At 43.3% G+C, this 26967-nt stretch overlaps 1 protein-coding gene and 1 pseudogene across 3 annotated transcripts in view, besides 1 other annotated feature; both read left to right on the top strand.

Annotated features, from left to right (window-relative positions):
* Positions 1-26967, top strand: part of MTMR12 (myotubularin related protein 12) — an 85933-nt gene that overhangs the window by 51436 nt on the left and 7530 nt on the right. For 2 of the 3 annotated variants that reach the window (NM_001294343.2, NM_001040446.3), the window contains exons 8-14: positions 5736-5811; positions 12626-12732; positions 13378-13502; positions 17905-17983; positions 19377-19447; positions 22331-22503; positions 26375-26542. In NM_001294343.2, coding sequence (NP_001281272.1) covers positions 5736-5811; positions 12626-12732; positions 13378-13502; positions 17905-17983; positions 19377-19447; positions 22331-22503; positions 26375-26542 — 799 coding nt within the window. The remainder of the gene's footprint in view (positions 1-5735; positions 5812-12625; positions 12733-13377; positions 13503-17904; positions 17984-19376; positions 19448-22330; positions 22504-26374; positions 26543-26967) is intronic. The other variant, NM_001294344.2, reaches the window with a different exon arrangement.
* Positions 85-184: an enhancer, noted in NCBI's record as "active region_22438". NCBI's record gives its function as "activates an Ori minimal core promoter by ATAC-STARR-seq in GM12878 lymphoblastoid cells {active_cell/tissue: GM12878}" and the evidence as "EXISTENCE:reporter gene assay evidence [ECO:0000049][PMID:35858748]".
* Positions 26629-26737, top strand: RNU6-1079P (RNA, U6 small nuclear 1079, pseudogene; annotated as a pseudogene).

The raw sequence follows: 26967 nt of genomic DNA, 5'->3' as shown, positions 1-26967 counted from the left end.
CATGGTGGAAGTAAGGTTTTGCATGGTGGCTTGTAAGCATAGTCGTAAAGGAAGTGAAAGCTTGAGTCAGAGGACACCCGAGGGAGGAGCATTCCAGGTGGAGGGAGGAGTAAGAGCAAAGGCCTGGGGGAGGAACAGCAAGGTGCCCAGGGATGGGGGAGGAGCAAGCTAGGGAGAGGAGTGGGAGATGATGGGCCCAGAGACTTTGATGGGAGGACAGTGAGAGGGAGGCTGAGTAGAAGCAGACATGATCTGACCTACATGTTTTTTTGAGACTGAGTCTCACTCTGTCACCCAGGCTGAAGTGCAGTGGTGCTATCTCGGCTCACCGCAACCTCTGCCTCCTGGGTTCAAGTGATTCTCCTGCCTCAGCCTCTTGAGTAGCTGGGATTACAGGCGCCTGCCACCACGCCCCACTAATTTTTGTATTTTTAGTAGAGATGGGGTTTCACAATGTTGGCCAGGCTGGTCTTGAACTCCTGACCTCAAGTGATCTGCCTGCCTCAGCCTCCCAAAGTGCTGGGATTACACGCGTGAGCCACTGCGCCTGGCTGACCTACATTTTTAAAGCATGACTGTATAATCTGTTTTCAGAAACTTGAATGTTATCATTTTGGAACATACTCCCTAACACCCTGCTAACAGATTCATACAACTTTGTATTTTTGTAGAGCTCTTTGTATCATGGTTCTGATAGGCCTCTTCAGTAATCAGTTTTGATTCTGATCACTCTCAGTATTTATCAGGTTGCTGCCACTGGTCCCCCTCCCCCCCGCCCTGCAGTGCCTTCACAGTGTGAGCTGTGGTGGCAGTGGGGAAGGGCCTGCCAGGGTCCTGACCCCCACCAAGAACCTCATTGTCAGCCACACCCTGTTCTTTTCTCTTTCCTGGTTTTAAAGCTTGAAAGGATAAAGCTAGCTCTTGCTCAGAAAGAAGTTAGAAACCCCTGCTCCTAGGAGATGATAGTTTGTAATAAGATGTTGATACTAACATAAGTTCCCAGAATTGTTTTTAAAAAAAATCCTGCCACATACTAATCAGTTGGCATTTGCATAGGTGTTAGCATGTCAGAAATATACAGGAAAAGCTGTGGTTTGTTTCACTCCAGACCACTGTAGTCGCTGCTCCGTGGTCTCCCCCATCCACTGGTGCCCCAGCATCCATTCTCCATGTCGCATGCCAAGCAGGCTACTCCACATGCATCTCATGGCACTTGTCCCTGGCTTCAGTGGCTTCCCGCTGTTCTTGGTATAGAACAGAGCCCTCAACAAGCACTCTCAAGGCCCTTCATGGTTTGACTGCAGCTTTGTGTCCCACCCCTCTGGCCATACTGACCTCCCTGCCACAGGTCTTACCCACAGGCTCCTGTCTGGAAGTCCTTTTTGCTTCTAGCTGCACAAGTATAATTAACTCCACTTCATCAGTCGGATCTTACCCCAGGTACCGCTTTTTTTTTTTTTTTTTTTGGGAGACTGAGTCTCACTCTGTCACCCAGGCTGGAGTGCAGTGGTGTGATCTCGGCTCACTGCAACCTCCGCCTCCCAGGTTCAAGCGATTCTCCTGCCTCAGCCTCCCAAGTATCTGGGATTACAGGCATGCGCCACCACGCCCAGCTAATTTTTGTATTTTTGGTAGAGACGGGGTTTCACCATGTTGGCCAGGCTGGTCTTGAACTCCTGACCTCAAGTGATCCGCCTGCCTCAGCCTCCCAAAGTGCTGGGATTACAGGCTTGAGCCACTATGCCCAGCCCCAGGTACCACTTAAGTTGCAAGCTTTCCCAAGGCTAAGTCAGGTGTCCTTGTGAGTTTTCATTGCACTGTCTGCCCCTCTTCACAGCGCTTCCTGCAATGGCAAGTTTGTTGTTATTTTGTATCATCATTTGGTTAATGTGAGTTTCTGCAACCTACAGCTCTGTGAAGTTAAAGGATGCTGTTTTTGCCCATTGTTATGTCCTCAGTGTAACACGGTGGCTGGCTTCTAAGAGGAGCTCAATAAATAGGAGACAGAAGGAAAAGCCCCATTTGTATTTAGAGGGGGACCTGCGTCAGTTTGGGTAAGAACAAGGAACTGTCTACTTCACTTTCCCACAAGGTCAGAGCTGGCTATTCTGGTACCACAGGTCTCTTCCTTCTCTTTTTCATTCTCCTCCTAACAAACCTTTCTCCCATCCCACTTCCCTGTAAACGCATAGGATGGTATGTGGCCCTGTGGAGTGTGTACCACACAGAGGGACCTAGGAGCTGTTGCTGGCACAGGAAGACATTGCTGTTCTGGGAGGTTGTGCCTGAGTAGATACACAATTTTCCATGAGTAAAGTCATCTGGTATTTGCAGGAACTGTTTACTTTGTGTTCTAAGCTCATCTTAATGACTGAAATGACTGCTTTCCAAGGAGGGAGGATTGATTGCTTGTGTCCAATGGGAATGTCACAGTGGGGACTCCATGGAATCCACCTGGAATTAAGTGGTCAGGAGAGGACACCCTCCACACCTCTCACTGACTGCAGTGCTCTTCGTCTCTGTACAGCCTTCTCTGCTCGGTGATGGATGGGATATTTGCCAATACATTTGGTTCTGACTTTTTTTTTTTTTTTTTTTTTTGTGAAAGACCATCTATAAGAAAACTCACCGATGAACTAACAGTGTAAAATATTCAACCTCACTAGTTGGGGAAGACATGGAAATTTTTTAAAACCATGGGGCCCCAGTCCAGCTTTATAGCATGAGCCACTGAGGAAGGAGCTCAGGATCTGGTTTAAACAACTGCACAGATGACTGTCCTGAAAAGGTTGAGAAACAGTGGCCTGTTTGTAAGCTACCATCTAGAGCAGTGCGTCTCCATTTAATGTGTGTCTAATCGCTGGAGGCTCTTGTCTAATATTCAGAATCTGACTCAGTAGGTTGGGGGAGGCTAGAGCGTCTGCAGTCCTCATCAGCTTCCAGGTCATGCTGCTGAAACTGTGAGTAGCAGGATCTTCTGGAACAACAGTGTTCATCCCAACTGCTTACCTGGAGAGCTTTTAAGCTTCTGATTTAATAGTTCTTGGATGGAGCCTGGACATTGGTAATCTTTTAATCTTCCCACTTGATTTGAATGAGCAGCCTGAGTTTAAGAGCAGTTGATCTGCGGAGAGGTTTTTACTTCAATGACTACACCTGAAAAAGGGATGCCTTACCAGTCACCCATTCAGTCAGACTTATAAGAAAATATTTCAAGTACTTCAGAACTTCAGAAGGCAAACATTCTTCACAGTTTTGATGGTTTGAAGTGTCTTAGTGACCATTAGTTTCCAAACCTGGTTTTCTATCACAATCTTATTGGAACTTTTTCTTCATTAATTACTTTTAAGATTTTTTGGTTTTGCATTTTTTTTTTTGAGACAGGGTCTCACTGTGTCACCCAGGCTGGAGTGCAGTGGCACGATCTCTGCTCACTGCAACCTCTACCCCCTGGGCTCAAGCGATTCTTCCACCTCAGTCTCCTGAGTAGCTGGGACCATAGGTGCCCGCCACTATGCTCGGCTCAATTTTTTATATTTTATATGACTACAAAAAACTTATATCTACATTTTATTTATATTTGTATTTTTATATTTTTAGTAGCGAGGGGGATTTTGCCGTGTTGCCCAGGCTGGTCTTGAACTCCTGAACTCAGGTGATATTACAATGTGAGCTACCATGCCCAGTCCAAGTTTTTTGTTGTTGTTTGTTTGTTTGTTTGTTTGTTTGTTTTTTTGAGACAGAGTTTTGCTCTGTTGCCCAGGCTAGAGTAGAGTGGCGCAATCTTGGCTCACTGCAAGCTCCACCTCACAGGTTCAGCGATTCCTCTGCTTCAGCCTCTCGAGTAGCTGGGATTACAGGCACCCGCCACCATGCCCAGCTAACTTTTGTATTTTTAGTAGATTCAAGGTTTCACCATCTTGGCCAGACTGGTCTCAAACTCCTCGCCTCATGATACACCCACCTCAGCCTCCCAAAGTTCTGGGATTATAGGTGTGAGCCACCATGCCCGGCTGATGATTTTTTAAATGCAAAATTTCAAGTAGTATAAAAGGAAAGAAGATATGATGAATTCCCATTTACCCTAAAATACCCAGACTCAACAGTTATCAACTGATGGCCAATTTTGTTTTCTCTATACCCCCACCTGCTTCACCCTCTCTTGGATTATCTTGTTTTAATTTTAATTTTTTAAAGACAGGGTCACCCAGGCTTAAGTGCAGTAGCACAGTGATGGCTCATTGCAGCCTTGAATTCCTGGAGGCTCAAGTGATCCTCCCAAGTAGCTGGGACTACAGGTGTGTGCCACTTCGTCCAGCTAATTTTTTTTAATTTTTTTGTGGAGATGGGGTCTCACTATGTTGCCAAGGCTAGTCTCAAGCTCCTGGCCTCAAGCAGCCCTCCCACCTTGGCCCCCCAAAGTGTTGGGATTATAGGCGTGTGCCACCATGCCTCAGCCTCCCAAAGTGCTGGATTACAGGTGTGAGCCACTGCGTCCAGCCGTGTCTTACAAATTTTTAAACCCTTTCTCTGTCATCTTTTTAATCTTTTTTTAAAAGTAATCAAGATTAAATGAGATTGGTAGGTTTGTTAAATTGCTTCATCTATAGATTTTCAAGCCATCATATTTTTCTTGCAATATGTTGAAGAAACTTGACTGACAGTTTTCCACAGCCTGGGTTTTGATGATCACATCCCCATGGTGATATTTATTTGTTGCCCCATCTCCTATGAACTGATCTACATCACACATGCAGCATGCATACAAATGCCATTGATTATTTTCCATTGTAACTTAACACCATAAGCACCTTATTTCTTGTGAGGCTTTATTTCAAGCTCTTTGAGGGAAAGATGCTTACAGATTCTTATAGCTTCACAGTGATAGAAACTTAGGCAGTTTTCTTGTTAACAGAAACCTACATCTGCTGCCTGAGAGATGATGTCCCCAAGTAATTTTGATCTTTCATTCTACCATGTCCTACTACTTAACAAGTTTGTTCTTTTTAGAGACTAAATTTTCTCCTATAGAAGTTGAAGTCCCAATGCTTGGGTTCAGGTCCCAGCTGCACTGTGTGCTAACTAGTTGTGTAACCAGGGAAGAGTCTTAGCAGAATAGTGTCTCAGTTTCTTTATCTGTAAGATGGAAATAATATTACATATCTCATAGAATTGTTGGGAAGATTAAATCGATAAGTAATGTTCAGTACTTATTGGTAAGTATATTAGATAAGAGGTGTTAAGTAATTAGAACAGTGGTTGGTACACAGTAGCACTTAAATGTTCTTGTCAGAGCACTTGATAAAATGTCTGGGCAGCAAACCTCATAATTACTGTTTTTCCTATTAGTTTAACTGAAAACAACACAGGTGCTTATATGGCTACTATATGAGAACAATACTCCCAATTTCAGAATTCGATGCTTTTAGGTATCATATTTTCCTATCCCCTCATTTTTGAAAGAGGAAACAGACCCAGAGAGGTAGAATAACTTACCTGGGGTTGTACAGAATTGCAGGCAGAGCCACAGTTTGAACTTAGATTCCCCACTGATTTGTCCAGAGTACTTCACGCCACACCGAAAGCAGCAGTTCCTCTGAGCTGGTTCTGAACAGGGAAATATGGTCCCATCTGCTTAACACTCTGCTTGTATTCATCGTATCCATTGAAGTTGAGCTTTCATATTTTGTGAATTAAGTGTTGTACTAAAACTTGATGACATTTCTTTCTTCTAGATTGCCAGCATACTTTGTTGTCCCCACCCCTCTTCCTGAAGAGAATGTGCAGCGCTTTCAGGGTCATGGCATACCAGTAAGTGCATCTGGGAACCCTGAAAGGTGTGGGTTGTGCATTGGTCTATCCTGGCAAAATGATCCTACTGAAAGCCCTTGGCTTTTGTTCTAGAGTTTGTTTTCAGTCCAAGAACAATCCAGAAATATCTTAGGGACTCCCTAGAAGAGTCTGTTAAAGGTCATTGGGACAGAGTTCTAAAGTTTTCACAAATGCACTTGAGTTTTTAGAAGAGACATGAACAGAGCTTTAAGAGGATCATAGATCTGTCTGGTGTTGAAAGCAAGCCCGGTTTAACACTAAGTCATTTTGAACCTGAGCCAAAGCACGCCAAGGGTAGTAGGATTTAAGCTTCTTTTTGGCCCACACTGTTAATCTTTGTATGGGCATGGTGGTGTTTTCTCCCAGAGACAACATGGAGTGCTGCTTAGTTTTCACAGAATAGAGTGGGATTGGAGCCATATTTAATGTGTCACTGATCAAAGAAAGCAAGACTCTGGCAGTTACTCCGGTTTCTAATTGGTGGTTGGGAATTGCCAGGCCTGCAGGGTATTTAGTAAGGAATGAGAATTATAAATAAGTGCTGTGCTGTGTGCACAGCTGGTTCACCAAAAGGGTCACTCCCATATGGGTGGAGGTATGGTTAAGCAGGGTCACGTGCCCAGAAGCCCATGGAGTCCAAGCAGGTAATGAGTATGACCTTGTGGTGAACCAGAGGCCCTCCGCCTGGTCTAGGGGGACATCTCTTCAGTGCTAGGCAGTATATGCCACATGGGAATATGAGCCAAGTGTTGCCAGATGTCCTGATTTTTCAGGAGAAGCCATAGATACAGATTTTTGTTTTGTTTTGTTTTTATTTTTGTTTTTTTTAGACGGAGTTTTGCTCTTGTTGCCCAGGCTGGAGTGCAATGGCCCAATCTCTGCTCACTGCAGCCTCTGCCTCCCAAGTTCAAGCAATTCTCCTGCCTCAGCCTCCCGAGTAACTGGGATTAGAGGCACCCACCACCAGGCCCAGCTAATTTTTTGTGTTTTTAGTAGAGACGGGGTTTCGCCATGTTGACCAGGCTGGTCTCAAACTCCAGGCCTCAGGTGATCCACCCGCCTCGGCCTCCCAAAGTGTTGAGAGCCACCATGCCTGGCCTAGATACAGATCTTTATGTGAGTTTTCCTAATTTCTAAATATATGCCACTGATTCAGATGTTTAAAAGCATGTTTTGGGGACAGAGTTGGTCACAATGAATAAAATTCATAATTTTTAGCTCTTTATTAAGGACATTCTGAAGGGAAACTTTTTATTTTCTGCTGGTGTGGCAGTGAAGAATACAGTGAGCATCAGTACAGTTGGGTGGCCCTGCCTTGATTGGTACTGTCACCAGCAATTTTACCACCACTGCTTTTGTACCAAAAGTCACCACGGTACATATGACAAATTATATCTTAGCGTTATTATGAAAATAGCTGTGGCCTCTCAGACCACCTGAAAGGATCTTGAGACCTCCCAGCGTAGTGTATACTACACTTCGAAAACGGATGCTTTAGAGGAATGAAAATGAGAGTCTCTATCTTTCAGTCTTTCATAGAGGGGTCTGGAAAAGAGGATATGCTCTGTGGGAAGAAACAGAGGTGAACTGTTCACATATGTAGGAATAGGCTGCTTCTCCATCCCTGCAGTATATGAAATGTAGATACTCTGCATTCTAGCCAGGCCTTGGGCCTGAGAAGTAGCAAATATTCTGATAAGATTCGAGTGAGGAGCCTGAGGCATTACTTTGATAGAAACTGTGGGAAATGCAGGGCGTAGTGGCTCACGCCTATAATCCCAGCACGTTGGGAGACCGAGGCAGGCAGATCGCTTGAACCCGGGAGTTTGAGATCAGCCTGGGCGACAAAGCGAGACTCCATCTCTACAAAAAATTTTTTAAAATTAGCCTGGTAAGGTGGCACATGCCCATAGTCCCAGCTACTCTGGCGTCTGAGGTGGGAGGATCCCTTGAGCCAGGAGTTCGAAGCTGCAGTGAACTGTGATCGTGCCACTGCACTGTAGCCTGGGCAACAGAGTAAGACTCTGTCTCAGAAAGAAAAGAAAAGAAAACTGTGAGAACGTGTTCTCACTTCATTAGTTCTTCCCATATTTATACGTCCCAAAAGTTACAGTGGAGTTTGTGTGAATGAACAGCAAAAAAGTATTACACAAGATGGAATTTATACATCTACCCGGGAAACATAGAGCCCTCAATCTCTCTCTCTCTTTCTCCCTCTCTTTTCTTTTAACATAAAATTTTCATTTGACTGGAACATTTAGATCACCAGAAATGGCCTTAAGCAAATTAAAAGGTAATTTATTTTATATTTGGAATCGGTGAAATTATGTACCTTAACCTAGAATACCCAATCCTTTTAAATGTACACAGTACCACTATAGCCTCTTGTTTTTCATTTTCTTTAAGACAGGCTTTCTTAACCTAGGCACTATTGACATTTTAGGCCAGATAATTCTTTGTTGTGGGGGGCTGTTATTGTAGAATATATAGCATCAGCACTGCCAGTAGCATTTTCTGAGGTGCCAGTAGCACCCCTATCCCGTGAGTTGTGACAACCAACAAATATGTCCAGGTATTGCCAAATGTCCCCTCGTGGGTGGGGTGGGGGCACAAAATGCAGGTTGAAAACCCCTGCTTTAGGTGATCTGGACTGTTTTCTGTTTAGCATGTGTCTTCTCTGACTCTTAAGAGACTTACAGAAAATGTGACAACTAGTTGATGTGAGTGTCCGTAAGCCCCTCTCTGGCTTTGTCTTTACCTTGTTCTTCTTTCTCTCATTCCTATTGAACCTACTCATATTTACACTTATTCTCTGTGCTTATTTTTGTTGTTAAGAGATAAGAACATCAAACTGTTTTCTCTTAAACCAGATATTTAAGAGATTTGCAAAAACATAAAACAAAGCCGTTTATCTTCCTATGTGTTTTTGGGTGGAAAATATTATTTACAGTAACAGGTAATTGGTAATTATTGTTTTAAAATGAATTAGTATTTAAAAGTTTCTCAGTTTTAATTTCTAATGTGGTAAATATCAATAGCTATAGCTTATGTAGACACAAGCTCTTCAGGGTCCTCAGTAATTTTTAAGAACATGAAGGGGTCTAAGATCAAAAAGTTTGAGAACCACTGATCTGCAAGATTGCATGTACATACATTTTCTCTAGGACCTGGCATATAAGCACTCAAATCAATAGTAACAGGTAATTTGCAGTAGGTGCATAGGAAGCTAAGATTGAAGAGATAGTTTGGGGCTAGATTATGAACAGTCAATCTTTCATTTCATTCACAGAATCTTTAAAAATTGTGGTAAAATACACATAACATAAAACTTCCCATAGTGACATTTAGTATATTCTCAGTGTTGTGCAAACATTACCACAGTTTGTTCCAGAACATTTCCACATCTCCATGCTGTCTACCCTGGCTTTTCACCCAGTCTGTTCTTCCCTGCCTTCACTTCTTTTCAAGGAAGACCTGTATAATTGGTCAGTTTATTCATGTCCTTGCCGCTATTCTAAAGGCTTTGGCCGCTGTTCTTCAACCCTGAGTATCTTTTTTTTCCTCTGGGACAAATGAATATTGTTATGGATTATTCAAACCAAACAGCAAACTGTGCTTAACGGACCGTGAAAACCACTGGTGATGCTTTGTCCCGCCCAGCAGTATGCTATTTAACTCTTTTTGGTTCCTATATCATTGTTCTCTGCGTGAACAGGTTTTCATCCCTTTAAGTTTTTTGTATCATTCTTGACTCCCAGTGACGACCTTTTCCCTAGTCCAGTGGGATCCAGGACAGCGACAAGAACTCCCTCAGCTTCCTTCTACTCAGCCTCCTGTTGTTTCTCTCTGGGCTCCCGTTTCCTTCATACAGAATCTGGGTCTCTGGGCTCTTGATTGCCTTGTTTGGAGTCCCGTTCCATGGGCCTTCCCTCTTCTATGGTTGCCTTTCCCAAGTCTATTCTGCTATGTCTGTTTTTGAAGACATCCTTCTGTCTCCCTTAACCTGAGGCACTTCCTTCGTAGTCAAGCGGCTGTCTTGTTCTTCCTGTACTGCCAAGTATATTTAAAGAGTCTATACTTGTTTTCTCTACCATTTCTTCTTGTAACATGACTTCTACTCCCCACACACTGTGGACATTTCCCTCCCAGAAGTCCTTACGTCGTGTGCAGCCCCAGTTCCCTACATGACTGCAGTGTTTGACTCTGATGACATTGTCTTTTAAGTTCCTGTCCTGGCCTTGGAAACATTGTACTCCCTTGGCCTGCTGACCTCCTTCATGGTCCTTTCCTGCTTATGCTGCCTTCTGCCTCAGACTGTAGATGTTCTATTAAAGCTCTGTTTTTGACTCTATTAAGAGAGGGACCTTAATCCCAGCACTTTGGGAGGCCGAGGCGGGCGGATCACGAGGTAAAACGGTGAAACCCCGTCTCTACTAAAAATACAAAAAATTAGCCGGGCGTAGTGGCGGGCGCCTGTAGTCCCAGCTACTCGGGAGGCTGAGGCAGGAGAATGGCGTGAACCCGGGAGGCGGAGCTTGCAGTGAGCCGAGATCCCGCCACTGCACTCCAGCCTGGGCGACAGAGCGAGACTCCGTCTCAAAAAAAAAAAAAAAAAAAGAGAGGGACCTTAAAATGTACCGAATAATGAGTAATCCTTTTTTTAAAAAAACAAATAAGATTAACAAACTGTGATTCTTGCCTATGAAGTCACTCATACTAAGAATTCTGGCCCTCACAGTTCCCAGAGAGAAATTGCAGCAACAGAAGACTTTTTGCTAAATTTCTGTGAGAAGCCTCTTTGACCAGGAACTTTGTTTTTTTCTATTTACTGTTTCACGCAGAGAATAGTAAGGGAGTTGGCCCTTCACGCCTCAGATGAGATGAGACAGTTATGATTAGGAGTTATTACATGTGCCCCAGATGGAAAATGAGTTATAGTTGGATATCACCAAGGGACTATGCTTTCTGCCCTTCTGCTCCAGAAGAGGAGATAAAAAGGGTTAAGAACACTTAGTTTCTTAGAACTCACCATCCAGTCATGGCTAAGAGTATCTCCCCCTTTATCCAAGTGAGCTGCGCCAACTAAGGGGGGCACAATTGCCTGGGCACCAAAATTTCACCACCTTAGGCAGAGAGCTGAAAACTGTATGGTGGTTTCTGCACATCGCTTAGCATGGCATTGAGAAAGGGAATGCAAGAACAGCAAAGGGCCCTTTGATTATCTTACGTTCTAACACTTCCACCTCATCATGAATCTTAAAGTGTGGCTTGGCCCCAAGAAAGGAGTTGTTGCTGTTTACAGCAGTTCCTAAAGCAGTTCTGTGTCACTCTGTCCTTGCTCTCTGGCTGGGCTCATCAGCTCCCCCACTGCAGCAGACCATCAGCTCCCATTTCTAGAGTGCCAGGCCTGTTTTCCTCTCATTTTAGGGGCCTCCTGAATATCTCCACATGGAGGTCCTGTTGATGCTAGACACCCAATATGTGCTGATTCCATCACCTTCCCCAGAAATCCCGAACCAGTTCCCCTTTGTGATTTTCTAAGTGTAGTGCACAATATCACCTGGATTGTCATGCCGATCTCTAACTCTCGGTCTACGCCACTGCTAGCATATCCAACACATGGTTTATACCTGGCAGATGAATGGCAAAAAGGTGCTCCCTCTGGGAAGCCGAATTATAAAAGGTCTTTCCTCCAGGTTTATCTTTGAGCCCAGGCCAATGGCTTGGTCAGCAAAGCAAGGGCTGGACCTTAGCCACTCTCAAGCACTTAGCCAGGCCTTTATGCAGGACTCAAAGTCCACAACTGTACTCACCCGTCCAACCAGTCTGTCTTTCTTCTCCATTCTAGCTTCCACTGGCAGATTACTTTGCCCCAAGATCAGTTGTAATCTCCTTTTGTTCCTGAAAAACAAACAAAACCCCCCACTGTAACCTGAAAAAAGCCTGAACACCTTAACCTATTGCCAAAGCAGAAGAAAGCCTAAACAGCCTCACCTGCCACTGTTGGTCACTCGTGTGACTTCTTTCTCCTTGCCTTGTTTTTGTTGTGCCTTGAAATTTCTTTCTTCAGTTATATAATACATTCTACCTTATTTTATATTCCTAAGCTTATTTCCCTTTTGAAACGAAGCTCTGAAGGTAGACACAGTATCTTAGTATCTTTGTGCCCTCTCACAACCTAATGTGGTGCCTTGCATGTCACAAGTCTTGAATTCAGTTATGTCAAATAGCCAACATTCCATTCTTCCTAGTGTGGATTTTCTCTAATGAGAGTTGCCCCCTTTTTGCCATCCATATACAACACAGCCTTTAGAGTCACACTGCAGCTACTTTTGTACAACTTGGGAAAGTCCTTCCATCTCTCCAAGCCTCAGTTTCTTGCTGTTAAGGGGGATAAATAATCATACCCATCACAGAGAGTTACCATAACAATTAAATGAGTTAATTCATGTAAAATACCTGACATGTAATAAGCTGCACTTGAATGATAGCTACTATCCTAATAATAATAATGTTGTTGTTGTCATCATCTGGGTTACCAGCTGATGATAAGTCAAAAGGTATATGTTAGACCATAAGTCTGTGTCTGACTACCTAGACCTGTTTTATTTTTTAAAACTAAATCATTCTTTTTCATTGTGACTAAATACTCCCAGGCTTAATAAAGTTAAGTATGTCCAGCCATTTCATACTGAAGTTACAGATTTCCCTGTATGCATTTAAATGCTAAGCTTATGTGTCCCCTGTTGGGTTGTGTTTATTGTATCTGGTAAAGCTTTATTTGTTTCTACAGATATGGTGTTGGTCCTGCCACAATGGAAGTGCCCTTTTGAAAATGTCAGCACTGCCCAAAGAACAGGATGACGGCATTTTACAAATCCAAAAGAGCTTCTTAGATGGGTCAGTACTAGTTCTACATTTTGTTCTTGTTCAGTTCTTGTTTTCCAAGAAGCAGGGAACAGCTCTTAGTAGTATGTCTATTTCTGTTTACCTACTGGTAGCTTAATGCTAGGGGAATACAACTTAACAGTGATCATTTTGAGTTAATTTGAAAGGAGTCAGTATAACATAATAATTAAGAGTGTCACCTGCGTCGTTTTTAGAGGTGCACGCTAAAGTCTTCAGTGGGGAGGTGACATGATGTCTGTAATGTTAACAGTTGTCAAATTTAGGTCATGGTACATGTCACAATACTATTCTACTTTCTACATGTTTCAAATTAAACAAAACAAAGCAAAAAAAACCCAAAGTAGATGAATTTAAAACAAAAAAGAAGGAATAGACTCAGAGTTACATTGCCTTGGTCCAAATCATGGTTCTATCAGTTTATAAATTGGATGATCTTGGGCCAGGCAGTTTTACTTTATGCACCTCCATTTCCACACCCATTGACTGGGAACAGGAGTCCTGCAGCAATTGCCTGGTAGGTGAAGATTAAATGGGAGAATGCCTACTGAGCCCTTAACACAGATTGTGGCACGTAGTAAATCCTTAAGCAAAATTTGAGTTTGCTCTTCTAATCTCATATTCCTTTTTGATACCTAGAATTTACAAGACCATCCACAGGCCACCCTATGAAATTGTTAAAACGGAAGACCTGTCAAGCAACTTCCTGTCCCTGCAGGAAATCCAGACTGCATACTCTAAATTTAAACAGCTATTTCTGATAGGTGAGAAGAATACTGAGCAAAAACTTTTGTGTTATATGGGGAAAGACATGCCATGCAGATCAGGTGAAAGTTGGTGCCTTTTCCCTGGGTTCCTTACGTTAGTACGCAGAGCCCAGGGCTGTGATGTCATGGAGCCAGGGGTCTGGCTGCCATTACCACACTTCCCTCTCCATCTCTCTCCAGGCTTTCCCTCCCCGCCTCCTTATTGTGGCAGTGATCACACGGCCACCCTCCTCTTCTCCCCTTCCTCAGCATACCATTTGCCCAGTGGTGAGCATTTTGGTTTCTTCCTTTAAAAGTTTTTGAACTATGTAGTATTTATATTTGTTGACTTGCAGTAATTTATAAAGTGAATAATGTTCGTTTTCCTCTGTAGACTTTTTCCCAAAGTGGAAATACTTTAATTTTTTCCCCTGATTGGGAATATACAGTTTCTAACAATATTAAAAGTTCTACCAGAAATGTACAAAGTAGAAAATGAAATATGCCTGTCCCAGCTACCCCCATTTTCCTGCCCAGGCTGCCTACTGGTGCCTCATATTTAACACTGCTCAGTCACTCATTGATTCTCTTCATTCTGGAATGAGTCTTTACGCTCTGAGATTTGTCATGCCTATAGATAACTTTTCCTAACTTGGACATTGTTTTTTGAGACAGGGTGTCACCTCTGTCATCCAGACTGGAGTGCAGTGGCATGATCACAGCTCACTGCAACCTTAAAACTCCCAGGCTCAAGTGATCCTCCCACCTCTGCCTCCCAAGTAGCTGGGATTACAGGCACACACCTCCTCACCTGGCTAATTTTTGCATTTTTTGTAGAGACAGAGTCCCATCATGTTGCCCAGACTGATCTTGAACTCCGGGGCTCAAGCAATCCTCCCACTTTGGCCTTGCAAAGTGCTGGGATTATAGGCATGAGCCGCTGCCTGGACTAACTTGGACTTTTTAGCCTAGCAAATTCTTAACTGTTTTGGGATTCGTTCAGTGACATTTATTGAGTTTCCATTGAACAAGGGGTCTTCAAAAAGTTCATGGAAAATGTATATTATGAAAAAACTACACATGAATTCCAAAACTTTTTTACCCCAAAATAACTCATACTAACTTACTATAACATGCCTGAGCAGGATCTGGTTTGAGGAGCTAAGAAGGGTAAGAAATTAGTTTGAAAACAGGCCCTATTAGAGCAACATGAATTCTGCTGAAATTGAAGCAAAAACAAATATTGAATTTATGGTGAAGCTTGGGTGGAAGAATGGTGAAATTATTGATGCTTTAGAAAACGTTTACGGGGACAGTGCCCCAAAGAAATCAGCAGTTTACAAATGGACAACTCATTTTTAAGAAGGAGCAGATGATGTTGAAGATAAAGCCTGCAGTGGCAAACTGTCCACGTTAATTTGCGAGGAAAAAATTAATCTTGTTTCTGCCCTAATTGAAGAGGACCGACAGCAGAAGAAACAATAGTCAACTCCATAGACATCTCAGTTGGTTCAGCCTACACAATTCTGACTGAAAGGATAAAGTTGAGCAAACCTACTTGCTGGGCGCAGTGGCTCATGCCTGTAATCCAGCACTTTGGGAGGCTGAGACGGGCGGATAACTTGAGTTCAGGAATTTGAGACCAGCCCGGCTAACATGGCGAAACCCATCTCTGCTAAAAATACAAAAATTAGCTGGACGTAGTGGTGGGTGCCTGTAATCCCAGCTACTTGGAGGGGCTGAGGCAGGAAAATGAACCCGAGAGGTGGAGGTTGCTGTGAGCCAAGATCACGCTACTGCTCTCCAGCTTGGGTGACAGAGCAAGACTCCATCTCAAAAAAAAAAAAAACTGTCTACTCAATAGGCACCGAAACCATTGTGCCCAGATCAGCTTCAGATGAGAGCAGAGCTTTCAACAGAAATTTTAAATAAGTGGGATCAAAATCCTGAAGCATTTCTTTGAAGAATTGTAACAGGAGAAGAAACATGGCTTTGCCAGTACAATCCTGAAGACAAAATACAATCAAAGCAATGGCTACCGAGAGGTGGAAGTGGTCCAGCCAGGGCAAAAGCAGATATGTCAAGAGCAAAGGTCATGGCAACAGTTTTTTGTGATGCTCCAGCCATTTTGCTTGTTGACTTTTCTGACCAAAGCACAAAAACATCTGCTTATGAGAGGTTTTTTTTTTTCTGAGACAAATTCTCACTCTGTTGCCCAGGCTGGAGTGCAGTGGTGTGATCTTGGCTCACTGCAACCTCCACCTCCTGGGTTCAAGTGATTCTTGTGCCTCAGCCTCTTGAGTAGCTGGAATTACAGGTGTGCACCACCACACCCGGCTAATATTTGTATTTTTAGTAGAGGCAAGGTTTCACTATGTTGGCCAGACTGGTCTTGAACTCCTTACCTCAAGTGATCTACCCTCCTCGGCCTCCCAAAGTGCTGGGATTATAGGCATGAGCCACCATGCCCAGCCATAAGAGTGTTTTAAGAAAGTTGGCCAACGCTTTTGTAGAAAAATGCCCAGGAAGACTTCATCAGAGGGTCCTTCTCTACTGCTCATTCCTCCTATCAAACAAGGGCAATTTTGCAAGAGTTTTGATGGGAACTCATTAGGCATCTACCTTAAAAGTCTGATTTGGCTTCTTCTGACTTCATTTTCTAATCTTAAAAAATCCTTAAAGGGGGCTGGGCGTAGTAGCTCACGTGTATAATTGCAGCACTTTGGGAGGCCGAGGTGGGCGGATCACCAGAGGTCAGGAATTCAAGACCAGCCTAGCCAACATGGTGAAACCCCATCTCTACTAAAAATACAAAAATTAGCCAGGCATGGTGGTGGGCACCTGTAATGCCAGCTACTCCGGAGGCTGAGACAGAAGAATCGCTTGAACCCGGGAGGCAGAGGTTGCAGTGAGCTGAGATTGTGCCATTGCACATTGCGCTCCAGCCTGGGTGACAAGAGCAAAACTCCATCTCAAAAAAAACACAAAAATCCTTGAAGGGAACACATTTTTTTTTTTCAGTTAATAATGTAAAATAGACTGCAATGACATGGTTAAATTCCCAGGACCCTCAGTTCTTTAGAGGGGGTTGAGAGTGTCTTAAACTTGATGGAGCTTATGTTGAGAAATAAAGTTTATATTTTTTATTTTCATCTTTTAATTCCATGTTTTCACATACTTTTTGAAGTCCCCTTGTATATATTAACTATGCTAGTCGTTGGTGATAAAGAGAAATATAACACCAAGAGCTTATATTCTTGCAGGGGAAACAGCAATGTATGACTCTTAACTCAAACTAAAACATTACAATACATGTTTACTATTTAATCAAGGACACTCATTCTAGTTTTATTTCAGTCACTCAGGACTTTCAGGGATATCTGTCTTTTATTGATTTGAGTTTGCAACTTTTTTTTTCTTTTTTTCTTGAGATGGAGTTCTGTTCTTGTTGCCCAGGCTGGAGTGCAATGGTGCGATCTTAGCTCACTGTAACCTCCGCCACCCTGGTTCAAGCAATTCTCCTGCCTCAGCCTCCCAAGTGGCTGGGATTACAGGCATGGGCCACCACCCCCAGCTAATTTTTTTGTATTTTAGTAGAGACGGGGTTTCTCTGTGTTGGTCAGGCTGGTCTCAAACTTCTGACCTCAGGTGACGCGCCCACCTCCGCCTCCCAAAGTGCAGGGATTACAGGCGTGAGCCACCACATCTGGCCTTTTTTTTTTTTTTTCTTTTCATTTTTTAGAAACAGGGTCTCACTCTGTTGCCAAGGCTAGGGTGCAGTGGCGCCACCATAGCTCACTGCAGCCTCAAACTCCTGGCCTCAAGTGATCTTCCTGCTTCTGGGATTATAGTGCTGGGATTATAGGCATGAGCCACAGCACCCAGCCTGAGTTTGCAGCTTTTAAATATATTGGATTTCTGTAAGATTTAAGGTTCTCTGTTTTATAAGGCATGTAGGAGGAGTCATGTCATGGTATGCTGGGTGGACGAACTTGTGCATTGAGATTCTAATGAAAGTTAAGCCTGACCCTTAGGCTTCCGTGGCATCAGGATGGATCCAGTTGCATTTTCCACTTCTAGAATTAACAGCCTGGATGTCAACTATTTCTGCCTAAAGCATGTTACTCTCTGTCGACCTACAGGATGAACCATGGCTTTGTGTATGCATTGTAGGAATTTCTTATTTCAGCAATAAAGATCTCTTTTTGACCACCACAATCTTCTAGGGGCCTACAGCTCAGAAACCATTTCAGCTGAAGTTTTGAAATGACCCTTACTCAAAATAGAGTCCTGTGCCTGGATTCTGCAGTTTGAGTCAGGACTGTTAATCTGAATGACACAGTTGAGGAGCACAGGATTTTTGTGGCAAGTATGTCAGTGAACAATGACCTGACGTCTTTACTCCTTTTTCTTTTTTCAGATAACAGTACTGAATTTTGGGACACAGATATAAAATGGTTTTCTCTGTTGGAAAGTAGCAGCTGGCTTGACATAATCAGGTATTTCAAACCATTGTTTTACTCATGAATTTTGTAATTGTATAACTCAGGGTAGTAGATCAAACCGACAAATAATTTAACTGTTTGATATTTGACAGTTAAATATTCTTAGATCACATGTTCTACAGCTAGATTTTATATTTGCTACTTATTTCTGTGCACATTTGATAGGAATTTATGAACATGCCACCTGCTTACAAGGAGATGTACTCTACAGACAAGGCATTGAAAAAACACAGAAAGAGTGTGACAACCCAGAATTATTATTGAGGCAGCAGTGCTGGCCTCCAGGGAGGAAACTGAGGGTGAGAACAGGAGTGATACTGACTTTTCACTGAATACCTTTTTTAATCTTGTGTCTTACGCATATATTATCTGTGTTTTTAAAAACCATGATTAATGTCAGTTATTTTTGGTTTGGGAGTTAGGTTGAGAGTTCCAGAAAACAGTTATATTGCCTTTCCTACTTTCTATATTGAATAGCTCTTCTCTGTTGCCATTAAATAGAGGATATGGCAGAGAAAGGTGCAAAACAGAAATGATGATCAGGATGACAGAGTAGCTCTAATGCTAGGCTACATTTCAGGAGGGAGAGCAATGCTTCCTACTGCCTCACACACATTCTCCCTCCATTCTGAAGTGAGTACTGCGGAAAGGAGCCTTGGCCCTCCAGACACTGAACTGTGCTCCAGACATCCTGCTACACGTCTCATAATTTGAATATATAATGGCAGACAGGGATAAATGTTATGGAAGCAAAGAACCCTTCTTTGTGTGGGGTGGGCAGAGAAGGGTGAGCATCTCTAGCCAGATGAAGAGTCGGGGTGTGGGAAGGGAAGGTGGCTGGGGGGTAGGAGAGGACACGTCTGCAAGCAGAAGACAACAGATGTGAAGGCCCCCAGTTATACAAGTCAAAGCTGGGAATAGCGGCAACAGTCGCAAAGGGAATAACGTGTAGAGAGAGACAAAAAGGATTTCTGAGCATATTGGAGCTTTTTAGCCATTCTGATACATTCAGCAGGTCACCTTAAGTAAAGCAATCTGGACATGTCTCACATTCTCCAGGTATGGATTTTTATGAATCTTGCTCACCAGCAGACTCAGGCGTGAGTTTTTAATAAGAATGTCTAGTTTAGAAATTACCTAGGAGCATTTTCACATCAACTTTAGGATTCCCTCCTGAAAATTTTCAGTTTCTAATGGGCAGGAATATATCCCAGTATCTAAATAATGTAAATGGAAGTTCGTTTCTTTTCTAGAGGATTTTAGCGTGGAAAAAAAAAAAATAAGAGAGAAGACTGAAGATCAAGTCAGACTCTCTCTCAACTACGTAGTGTTTGTGTTACCAAGCTCATGAACTAATGCCCCTTTTTCTTGTCTCTTTCCTATTCAGACGTTGCCTGAAAAAAGCAATAGAGATTACAGAATGTATGGAAGCACAAAACATGAATGTTCTTCTTTTAGGTAATATATAGGAAGCACAAAGGATGATTTCCATTTTCCTTCACTTGAGATTCAATTTTTGTATATGTAGCTTTATGTATTTGGAAACAAAAGGAGTGAGTTAGTGTAGAAATCCTTCCTATTCCTTTCTCCCTAACCTTGGAATCCTTTGCCTTGGATTTCAGTGTTAGAGTTTAAAACAAAATTCTTTCACTTTGCACTTGGCAGACCTATTCACAGTCCACAAAGGAATTGTTGGTATCTTTACCAAAGCTCACATTTCTTAATGTTTTGGATTTTGTTTTATATTAACTGAGCTTGGTTAAATTTAAAATCTTTTTAGAATCCCTCTTATATAAAGAGATCCATGGATGACTTGGTTGTTATTTTTATATCTTTGTGGTTGACAACTTTATTCAGTTACCATAGAAACTTGGTGGCCTGTGAGTTCCTTTTCCTCAGTGGGCTTAACTCGCTGTACATGATGCAAACATTCAGAATGTGCGAAAGCAAGTGTGAACCACCATGCAAGGAAGATTGGTGCTGTAACTAGTTACATATGAGCTAAAATATTACCTGCTGTTTAGAAATACTATGTTTCGTTTAGCCCCACACTATAAATTAAGTAGATTGTCTCATGCTTTATACCCCCAAGCTTTTATCATTCTCTGAAACTCTGTAACTGTTGGCCCTGGGTTCTAAGGGCAGCCTGGAAAATGTATCTTTCTGTGGCTTCTGTCCATCTGATATTGGCTGACCGACTTAGATTTGAATACATTTATTGAGCCTCTGCCATGTGCAGGGCTCTGTTCCGCCTTCAAGAAGTTTGCAACCTAATGAGAGAGTTGCCTTAAGTGTGCTATTGAAAAAGACCTAACCAGCCGTGACAGAACAGAGCATTATTTGAGTACTGAGCAACTAGTGAAAAGGGGGAGGGATAAAGATTGGAGGTCTAAGAAACGGAAGGACTCAGGGCCAGAACACATTAATCACAGAGTTGCATAGAGTGAAATTTGAATCTTTGACTGATAGAACTGAGAAATCCTTCACTCCTGGATGGACTACTGAATTGTCTCACCTTGGAAATCTCTTTTAGTCCTTCATTCCATTACCCACAGGAGTATCATTAACACCCTTCAGATCCAAGAAGAAAGAGTTCCTTAAAAATGAAACTTGTGGCTGGACACGGTGGCTCACACCTGTAATCCCAGAATTTTGGGAGGCCAAGGCAGGCAGATCACTTGGGGCCAGGAGTTGGAGACCAGCCTGGCCAACATGACGAAACCCTGTCTCTACTAATAATGCAAAAATTAGTCGGGCTTGGTCCTGTGTGCCTGTAGTCCTGGCTACTCGGGAGGCTGAGGCACAAGAATTGCTTTAATCTGGGAGGCAGAGGTTGCAGTGAGCCAAGATTGTGCCGCTGCACTCCAGCCTGGGTGACAGAGTGAGACTCTGTCTCCAAAAAGAAACTTGTTTTGAAAATTGATAGCACTAGAAGACAAAAATGAAAATCTGTTTCTCTGTAACCCATGTCATCCCATAGTTGAGGCTTGTTTCCTGGAGGGAGAAGTGTAAGCTTGGACCCATAGTGCTCTGTGATTATAGGGGTCAGGATGAAAGAGTTATCACAATATGAGCACCTCCCTAGTTACAATTCATTCCTTTTTTTTTTTTTTTTTGAGACGGAGTCTCCCTCTGTTGTCCAGGCTGGAGTGCAATGGTGCGATCTCAGCTCACGGCAACCTCTGTCTCCCTGGTTCAAGCGATTCTTCTGCCTCAGCCTCCTGAGTAGCTGGGATTACAGGCGTGCACCACCATGCCCAGCTAATTTTTGTATTTTTAGTAGAGACGGGGTTTCACCATGTTGGTCAGACTGGTCTCGAACTCCTGACATCGTGATCCACCCGCCTCGGCCTCCCAAAGTGCTGGGATTACAGGCATGAGCCACCGCGCCCGGCCTACAATTCATTCTTAAGTTTCTCTAACACCAATGATACTAGCACCATCCTCCTCATGGACATTTTTTAAAAACAACTCGAGTTGCACCTATTTTTGTGAAAGGGAAACTATGGGGATGTAGACCCTGACTTTTAGGATCTTAAAACTCTTAAGACAAATGCACGGATAAAGATATGTGGTTCTTTTGCTCTAAGTCATGAATGTTAAACAAGTATGTGAGTGGACTTTTCATCAAATGAGTTTTGGAAAGTGCATGGCAGGTGGGCATGTAGAAGTAGACCAAGGAGAGTTTGTCTCCTAGGATAGGCAGGAGAAGCAGGCACCTCTGTGCCCCTCAAACAGAAAAGGACAGAGCCTTAGAGCTGAAAATAGAAATAATTTTGCTACAGTCAAGAAATATTAAACTTTCTCCAAAGTAGAGTTAGTGGAGGACTTAGGAGTGGAGGAAGGGATGTCTGAGGTGAGTTTGAGAAGCAGCTGAGCCATGAAATAGTGAGTTCAGTGACGGAGGCGTCCACACCCCAGGAGGAGTTCAGTGACGGAGGCTTCCACACCCTAGGAGGGAAGAGCTTTAGTCTTGGCCTGCGGAGCCTGGCAGGTCATCATTATGTGGGTGATTCTCCTGTCTCTGTGTGGCACACCTAGACCCCCACAAGCTGAAAGTAGCTTTGCAGTGCTGCATTTATTTATTCAGTATGCAAATCCACATTTAGTACCAGCGTATGCCAGAACCTGTACTAGACATGCTAGAGCAGTTCATGTCTCAGTCTGAAAACATAACCCTTTGTTATTGGCCCTTGCCTTTAGGGAATAAGAACATGACTGTTAATAGTAGACCTTGGTGTTGGGAATCCTACTTTTAACTGTGCAAGTGAGAGCATTCTGAAACTTTTTAACATTTTATGCCCTCCTTCCTCTTTGCACTGCTGCTGGGGCCTCTCCTAGAGGAGAATGCATCCGACCTCTGCTGTCTCATTTCCTCTCTGGTGCAACTGATGATGGACCCCCACTGCAGAACCAGAATTGGTTTCCAGAGCCTCATCCAAAAGGAGTGGGTCATGGGTGGCCACTGTTTCTTGGATCGCTGCAACCATCTCCGCCAGAACGACAAAGAGGAGGTGAGTTCCCTCACTGCAGACTGTTTCCGTCATAGGGAGAACTACTGAATCTCTTATTTAATACCTGTCATCAGATGTAGTAGGATTGCTGCTTGCAAAGTGTAAGCCAAACAGGTTTGTTAAGAAAACTAGGATCGTTTCATTGTGTGATGACTTTGGATACTTTAAATAATAGTGAAACCTTTCCCAGAGGAAAGAGATATTAACAAGTATGTTCAGAGTTTTCTAAATTGTGTACACCAAGGGTGTATACATATTTCACAGTGGGAATAATATTTATTAATAAGACTTAAATATAAAGTAACTCAGTGAGGGAGACTCCTACCTTTTCTACAAAATTAGTCTTTGCAATAAAAAGATATTCAGGGTGCAGGTTTTCTACAGAAAATATAGGTTGAGCATCCCTTATCTGAAAGTCATGGGACCAGAAGTGTTTCAGATTTCAAATTGTTTTGGATTTTGGAATATTTGCATTCCATTACTGGTTGAGCATCCTTAATCCAAAAATTGGAGGCCTGGCATGGTGGTTTGCACCTGTAATCCCAGCACTTTGGGAGAACAGGAGTTTGAAACCAGCCTGGGCAACATAGACAGACCTCATCTCTACCAAAAATAAAAATAAAATAAAATAAACTGGGCATGGTGATGCCTGACTACAGTCCCAGTTACCAGGGAAGGTGAGGTGAGAGGATTGCTTGAGCCTGGGAGGTCAAAGCTGCAGTGAGCCATGATTGTGCCACTGCACTCCAGCCTGAGTGACAGTGAGACCCTATCTCAAAATAAATAAAGTTTTAGATTTTGGAACTGAATGATTTCAGATTTTCAGAGTCAATTTTTTTTTTTTTTTTTTTTTTTTTGAGACGGAGTCTTGCTCTGTTGCACAGGCTAGAGTGCAGTGGTGCAGTCTCAGCTCACTGCAGCCTCTGCCTCCTGGGTTTAAGCTTATCTCCTGCCTCAGCCTCCCTAGTAATTGGCATTACAGGTGTGCGCTACCATGCCTGGCGAATTTTTTGTATTTTTAGTAGAGATGGGGTTTCGCCATGTTGGCCAGGCTGGTCTTGAACTCCTGACCTCAAGTGACCCACCTGCCTCAGCCTCCCAAAGTGCTGGGATTACAGGCATGAGCCGCCACACCTGGCCATTCAGAGTCAATTTTCCTTGCACATAAACCTTTTTGAAATAAAGCACAGGGGCCAGGCACGGTGGCTCCCACCTGTAATCCCAGGACTTTGGGAGGCCAAGGCAGGTGGGTCACAAGGTCAGGAGGTCGACACCATCCTGGCTAACACGGTGAAACCCCGTCTCTACTAAAAATACAAAAAATTAGCCGGGTGTGGTGGCACATGCCTGTAGTCCCAGCTACTTGGGAGGCTGAGGCAGGAGAATCACTTAAACCCGGGAGGCAGAGGTTGCAGTGAGCCAAGATTGTGCCACTGCATTCCAGCCTGGGTGACAGAATGAGACTCCATCTCCAAAAAAAAAAGAAGAAAGCACAGGGTTATGTTAATGCCATCTGTTACCAGGGCCTTAGTGGTAGCGTGGGTGGGAATGTCCCCATAGCCTCTTCTGCTTCTGTCTGGACTAATCGCTCCAGGCCTGGACCTCCAAGTTCAGGCACAGGAGAGTTAGCATTTTAGGTCACCTGGTGAAAATGAGTCCCCCAGATTGTGGTGTACATGTCTAGATGACAGCTGTACACACTCCCTTGGCTGCCTTATTGATGATTGTTGGAAGGAAAAATGAAAACACACAAACTTTCTTTAATCAACTCACCTGCAGCGCTGACGTATGCTAGCAGTGTTACTTGTGGTTTTTCATACTCCAGGTAGTCAGCATGTCTGTCTGTGGTACAGAACAGCTTGACACAGAATGCTGTGGGCACACAGAGCCATGGCTCCTGATCGTAAGGGCTTGGCAGGTTCCTTGGGTGATCCAGGTCTCTCTCACTGAGCAAGATGGTTTCTTTCAGGCCTGGCCTGTACTTATCTGTGTCCCATTGAGCTGAATAGAAATCACATCTTTCAGTCCTGGAAGGGACTTGAAGAAACTAATTTGAAAGGTTGATGGCATTTACATAACATGGGAGGCAGAGAGAGCTGATACTTTGTGGAGACGAGTATGGTTGTTTTTTTTCTTTTCTTTTCTTTTCTTTTTTTTTTTTTGGAGAAGGAGTTTCGCTCGTGTTGCCCAGGCTGGAGTGCAATGGCACAATCTTGGCTCATTGCCACCTCCTCTTCCTGGGTTCAAGTGATTCTCCTGCCTCAGCCTCTTAAGTAGCTGGGATTACAGGCATTCCCCTCCATTCCCGGCTAATTTTGTATTTTTAGTAGAGACAGGGTTTCACCATGTTGGTCAGGTATCGAACTCTTGACCTCAGGTGATTCACCCATGTCAGCCTCCCAAAATGCTGGGATTACAAGCGTGAGCCACAGCGCCTGGCCTTGTTTTGTTTTTGAGACATGGTCTCTCTCTGTTGCCCAGGCTGGAATACAGTTGCACAGTCATGGCTTACTGCAGTTTCAACCCCCTGGGCTCAAGCAATCCTCCTGCCTCAGCCTTCTGAGTAGCTGGGACTATAGGTGTACACTACCATGCCTAGCTAATTTTTGTATTTTTTGCAGAGATGGGTTTTGCCATGTTGCCCAGGTTGGTCTCAAACTCCCGGGCTCAGGCGATCCATCTGCCTCAGCCTCTCAAAGTGCTGGAAATACACACATGAGCCACTGCGCCTACCCATATGTTTTTGTATATCTTGAGAAAAGGGGGACTGGCAGGCACCATGTCTAATGGGGAAAGAGTCTGAGGTCTAAGAAGAGACCTGATCTGCTGCTGTTCACCCAGCCCTTGGAGAAGTCACTTGTATTTTCTGAGCCTATTGCCCTGCCTATACATTGCAGTTCAAATATTTTCCACTCTATTTAATGATATTATGCATAAAATGAAGTGTGAAATAAAGTTGCTGTACAAATGTTTCTTAGCATCTCAACATGGACATATTGGAGTTTTGAAGGAAAATTGAAAAGAAACATGAGCCCTGTGTGAGACCCTGGGGACCGGCCTCCAGGCATCTCCAATCTTCCCTTTCCTCCTTTGTAAGGGAGAGACTAACATAGCTTCTCTTAGCCCCCTGGCAGGATCACTGGTTAATCAGGGAGGATAAGCGCTTTCTAAATGATAAAGCACACTAGAAACTACTCTCCCTGCTCATCAAGGGCTCGCCTCTGGGAGCTAATAAATGAGGCTTGTGGATTTGTAAAGATGCATTTTGAAAACATTTTGAAACTCACTTTCACTGCTTCTCCCTTGTCTCCCATCCCCGTTGTCTTCTGGGCCCTCACTGCGGGGTGGACAGGAGGCTTCTCCTTCCACGTTGGTCTCCAAGATCAAACCCTGTCAGTTAGTGTGTGGGCAGGTGGGGAATAGAAGTTCCCTCCCACCCCCCGTAACTTTTCATTGACAAAATTCAAAGTAGCACTCATAATTAAGTACATTGTTTGGTAATACAGTACTACTAATGGAAGAATGGAATTTTTTTGGAGGAGATAATATTTTGCTTAATTGGGGTTCTAAGTTAGTGTTTTCTATTATCAGAATCAATTGCAGATGCTCATCTGTAACACTGATCCATAATGAGGTTTTTACATATTTCGTCTTTGAAATGTCTTTGACACAGATAGGCATGTAAATCGCAAGCATGTGATTTCAGTTGAGCATATTTCTCACTTGGGATGGTATGGAGTATTCTGTGTTTCCCAGAGAATGAAGTCCTCAGAAGTGCTTATTCCACAGCTGTTGAGGTGGCTGCCCCCTGAACTCAGGATGGCTTGCTCTGGGCTCTGCCCACCAAGTAACGTATCTTGTTTTCATGCAGGTTCCTGTGTTCCTGCTTTTCCTAGATTGTGTCTGGCAGCTGGTGCACCAGCATCCCCCGGCATTTGAATTCACAGAGACTTACCTGACTGTTTTGTCAGATAGCCTGTATATACCTATTTTTAGCACCTTCTTCTTCAATTCACCTCATCAAAAAGATACTAACATGGTAAGAGTCCCTCTTAGGAACCTGTGTATTAAAGAGGCTTCTTCTCACAAGTAGGATGCAGTAATACTGATGCTACAAATAAAATGGTGCTCACTTGGCAGCACATACACTAAACAAAGTTGGAATAATACAGAGAAGATTAGCATGGCCCCTGCGAGAGGATGACATGCAAACTCATGAGACGTTCCATATTTTAAAAAAGATATTGAACACTAACTACATACCAAGCATTGGTCTAAGAGCTTCTTAGGTATTAATACTTACTCCTTACAGCACCCTATGGCATATGCATTTTTATTATCCTGGAGGAAGCTGAGGCAAAAAAAGGATAAGTAACTCACTCGTGGTCACATGGTAAATATTGGAACTGGAAGCAAGTGTTGAAGCTGGGGAATTAAGCAAAATTCAAAGCTGTCCATTTGAAA

This window comes from Homo sapiens, chromosome 5, assembly GCF_000001405.40.
Source record: "Homo sapiens chromosome 5, GRCh38.p14 Primary Assembly".
Taxonomy (NCBI): Eukaryota; Metazoa; Chordata; class Mammalia; order Primates; family Hominidae; genus Homo; species Homo sapiens.
The sequence above is the reverse complement of the archived record's forward strand: the minus strand, read 5'-3'. Positions and strand labels throughout refer to the sequence as shown.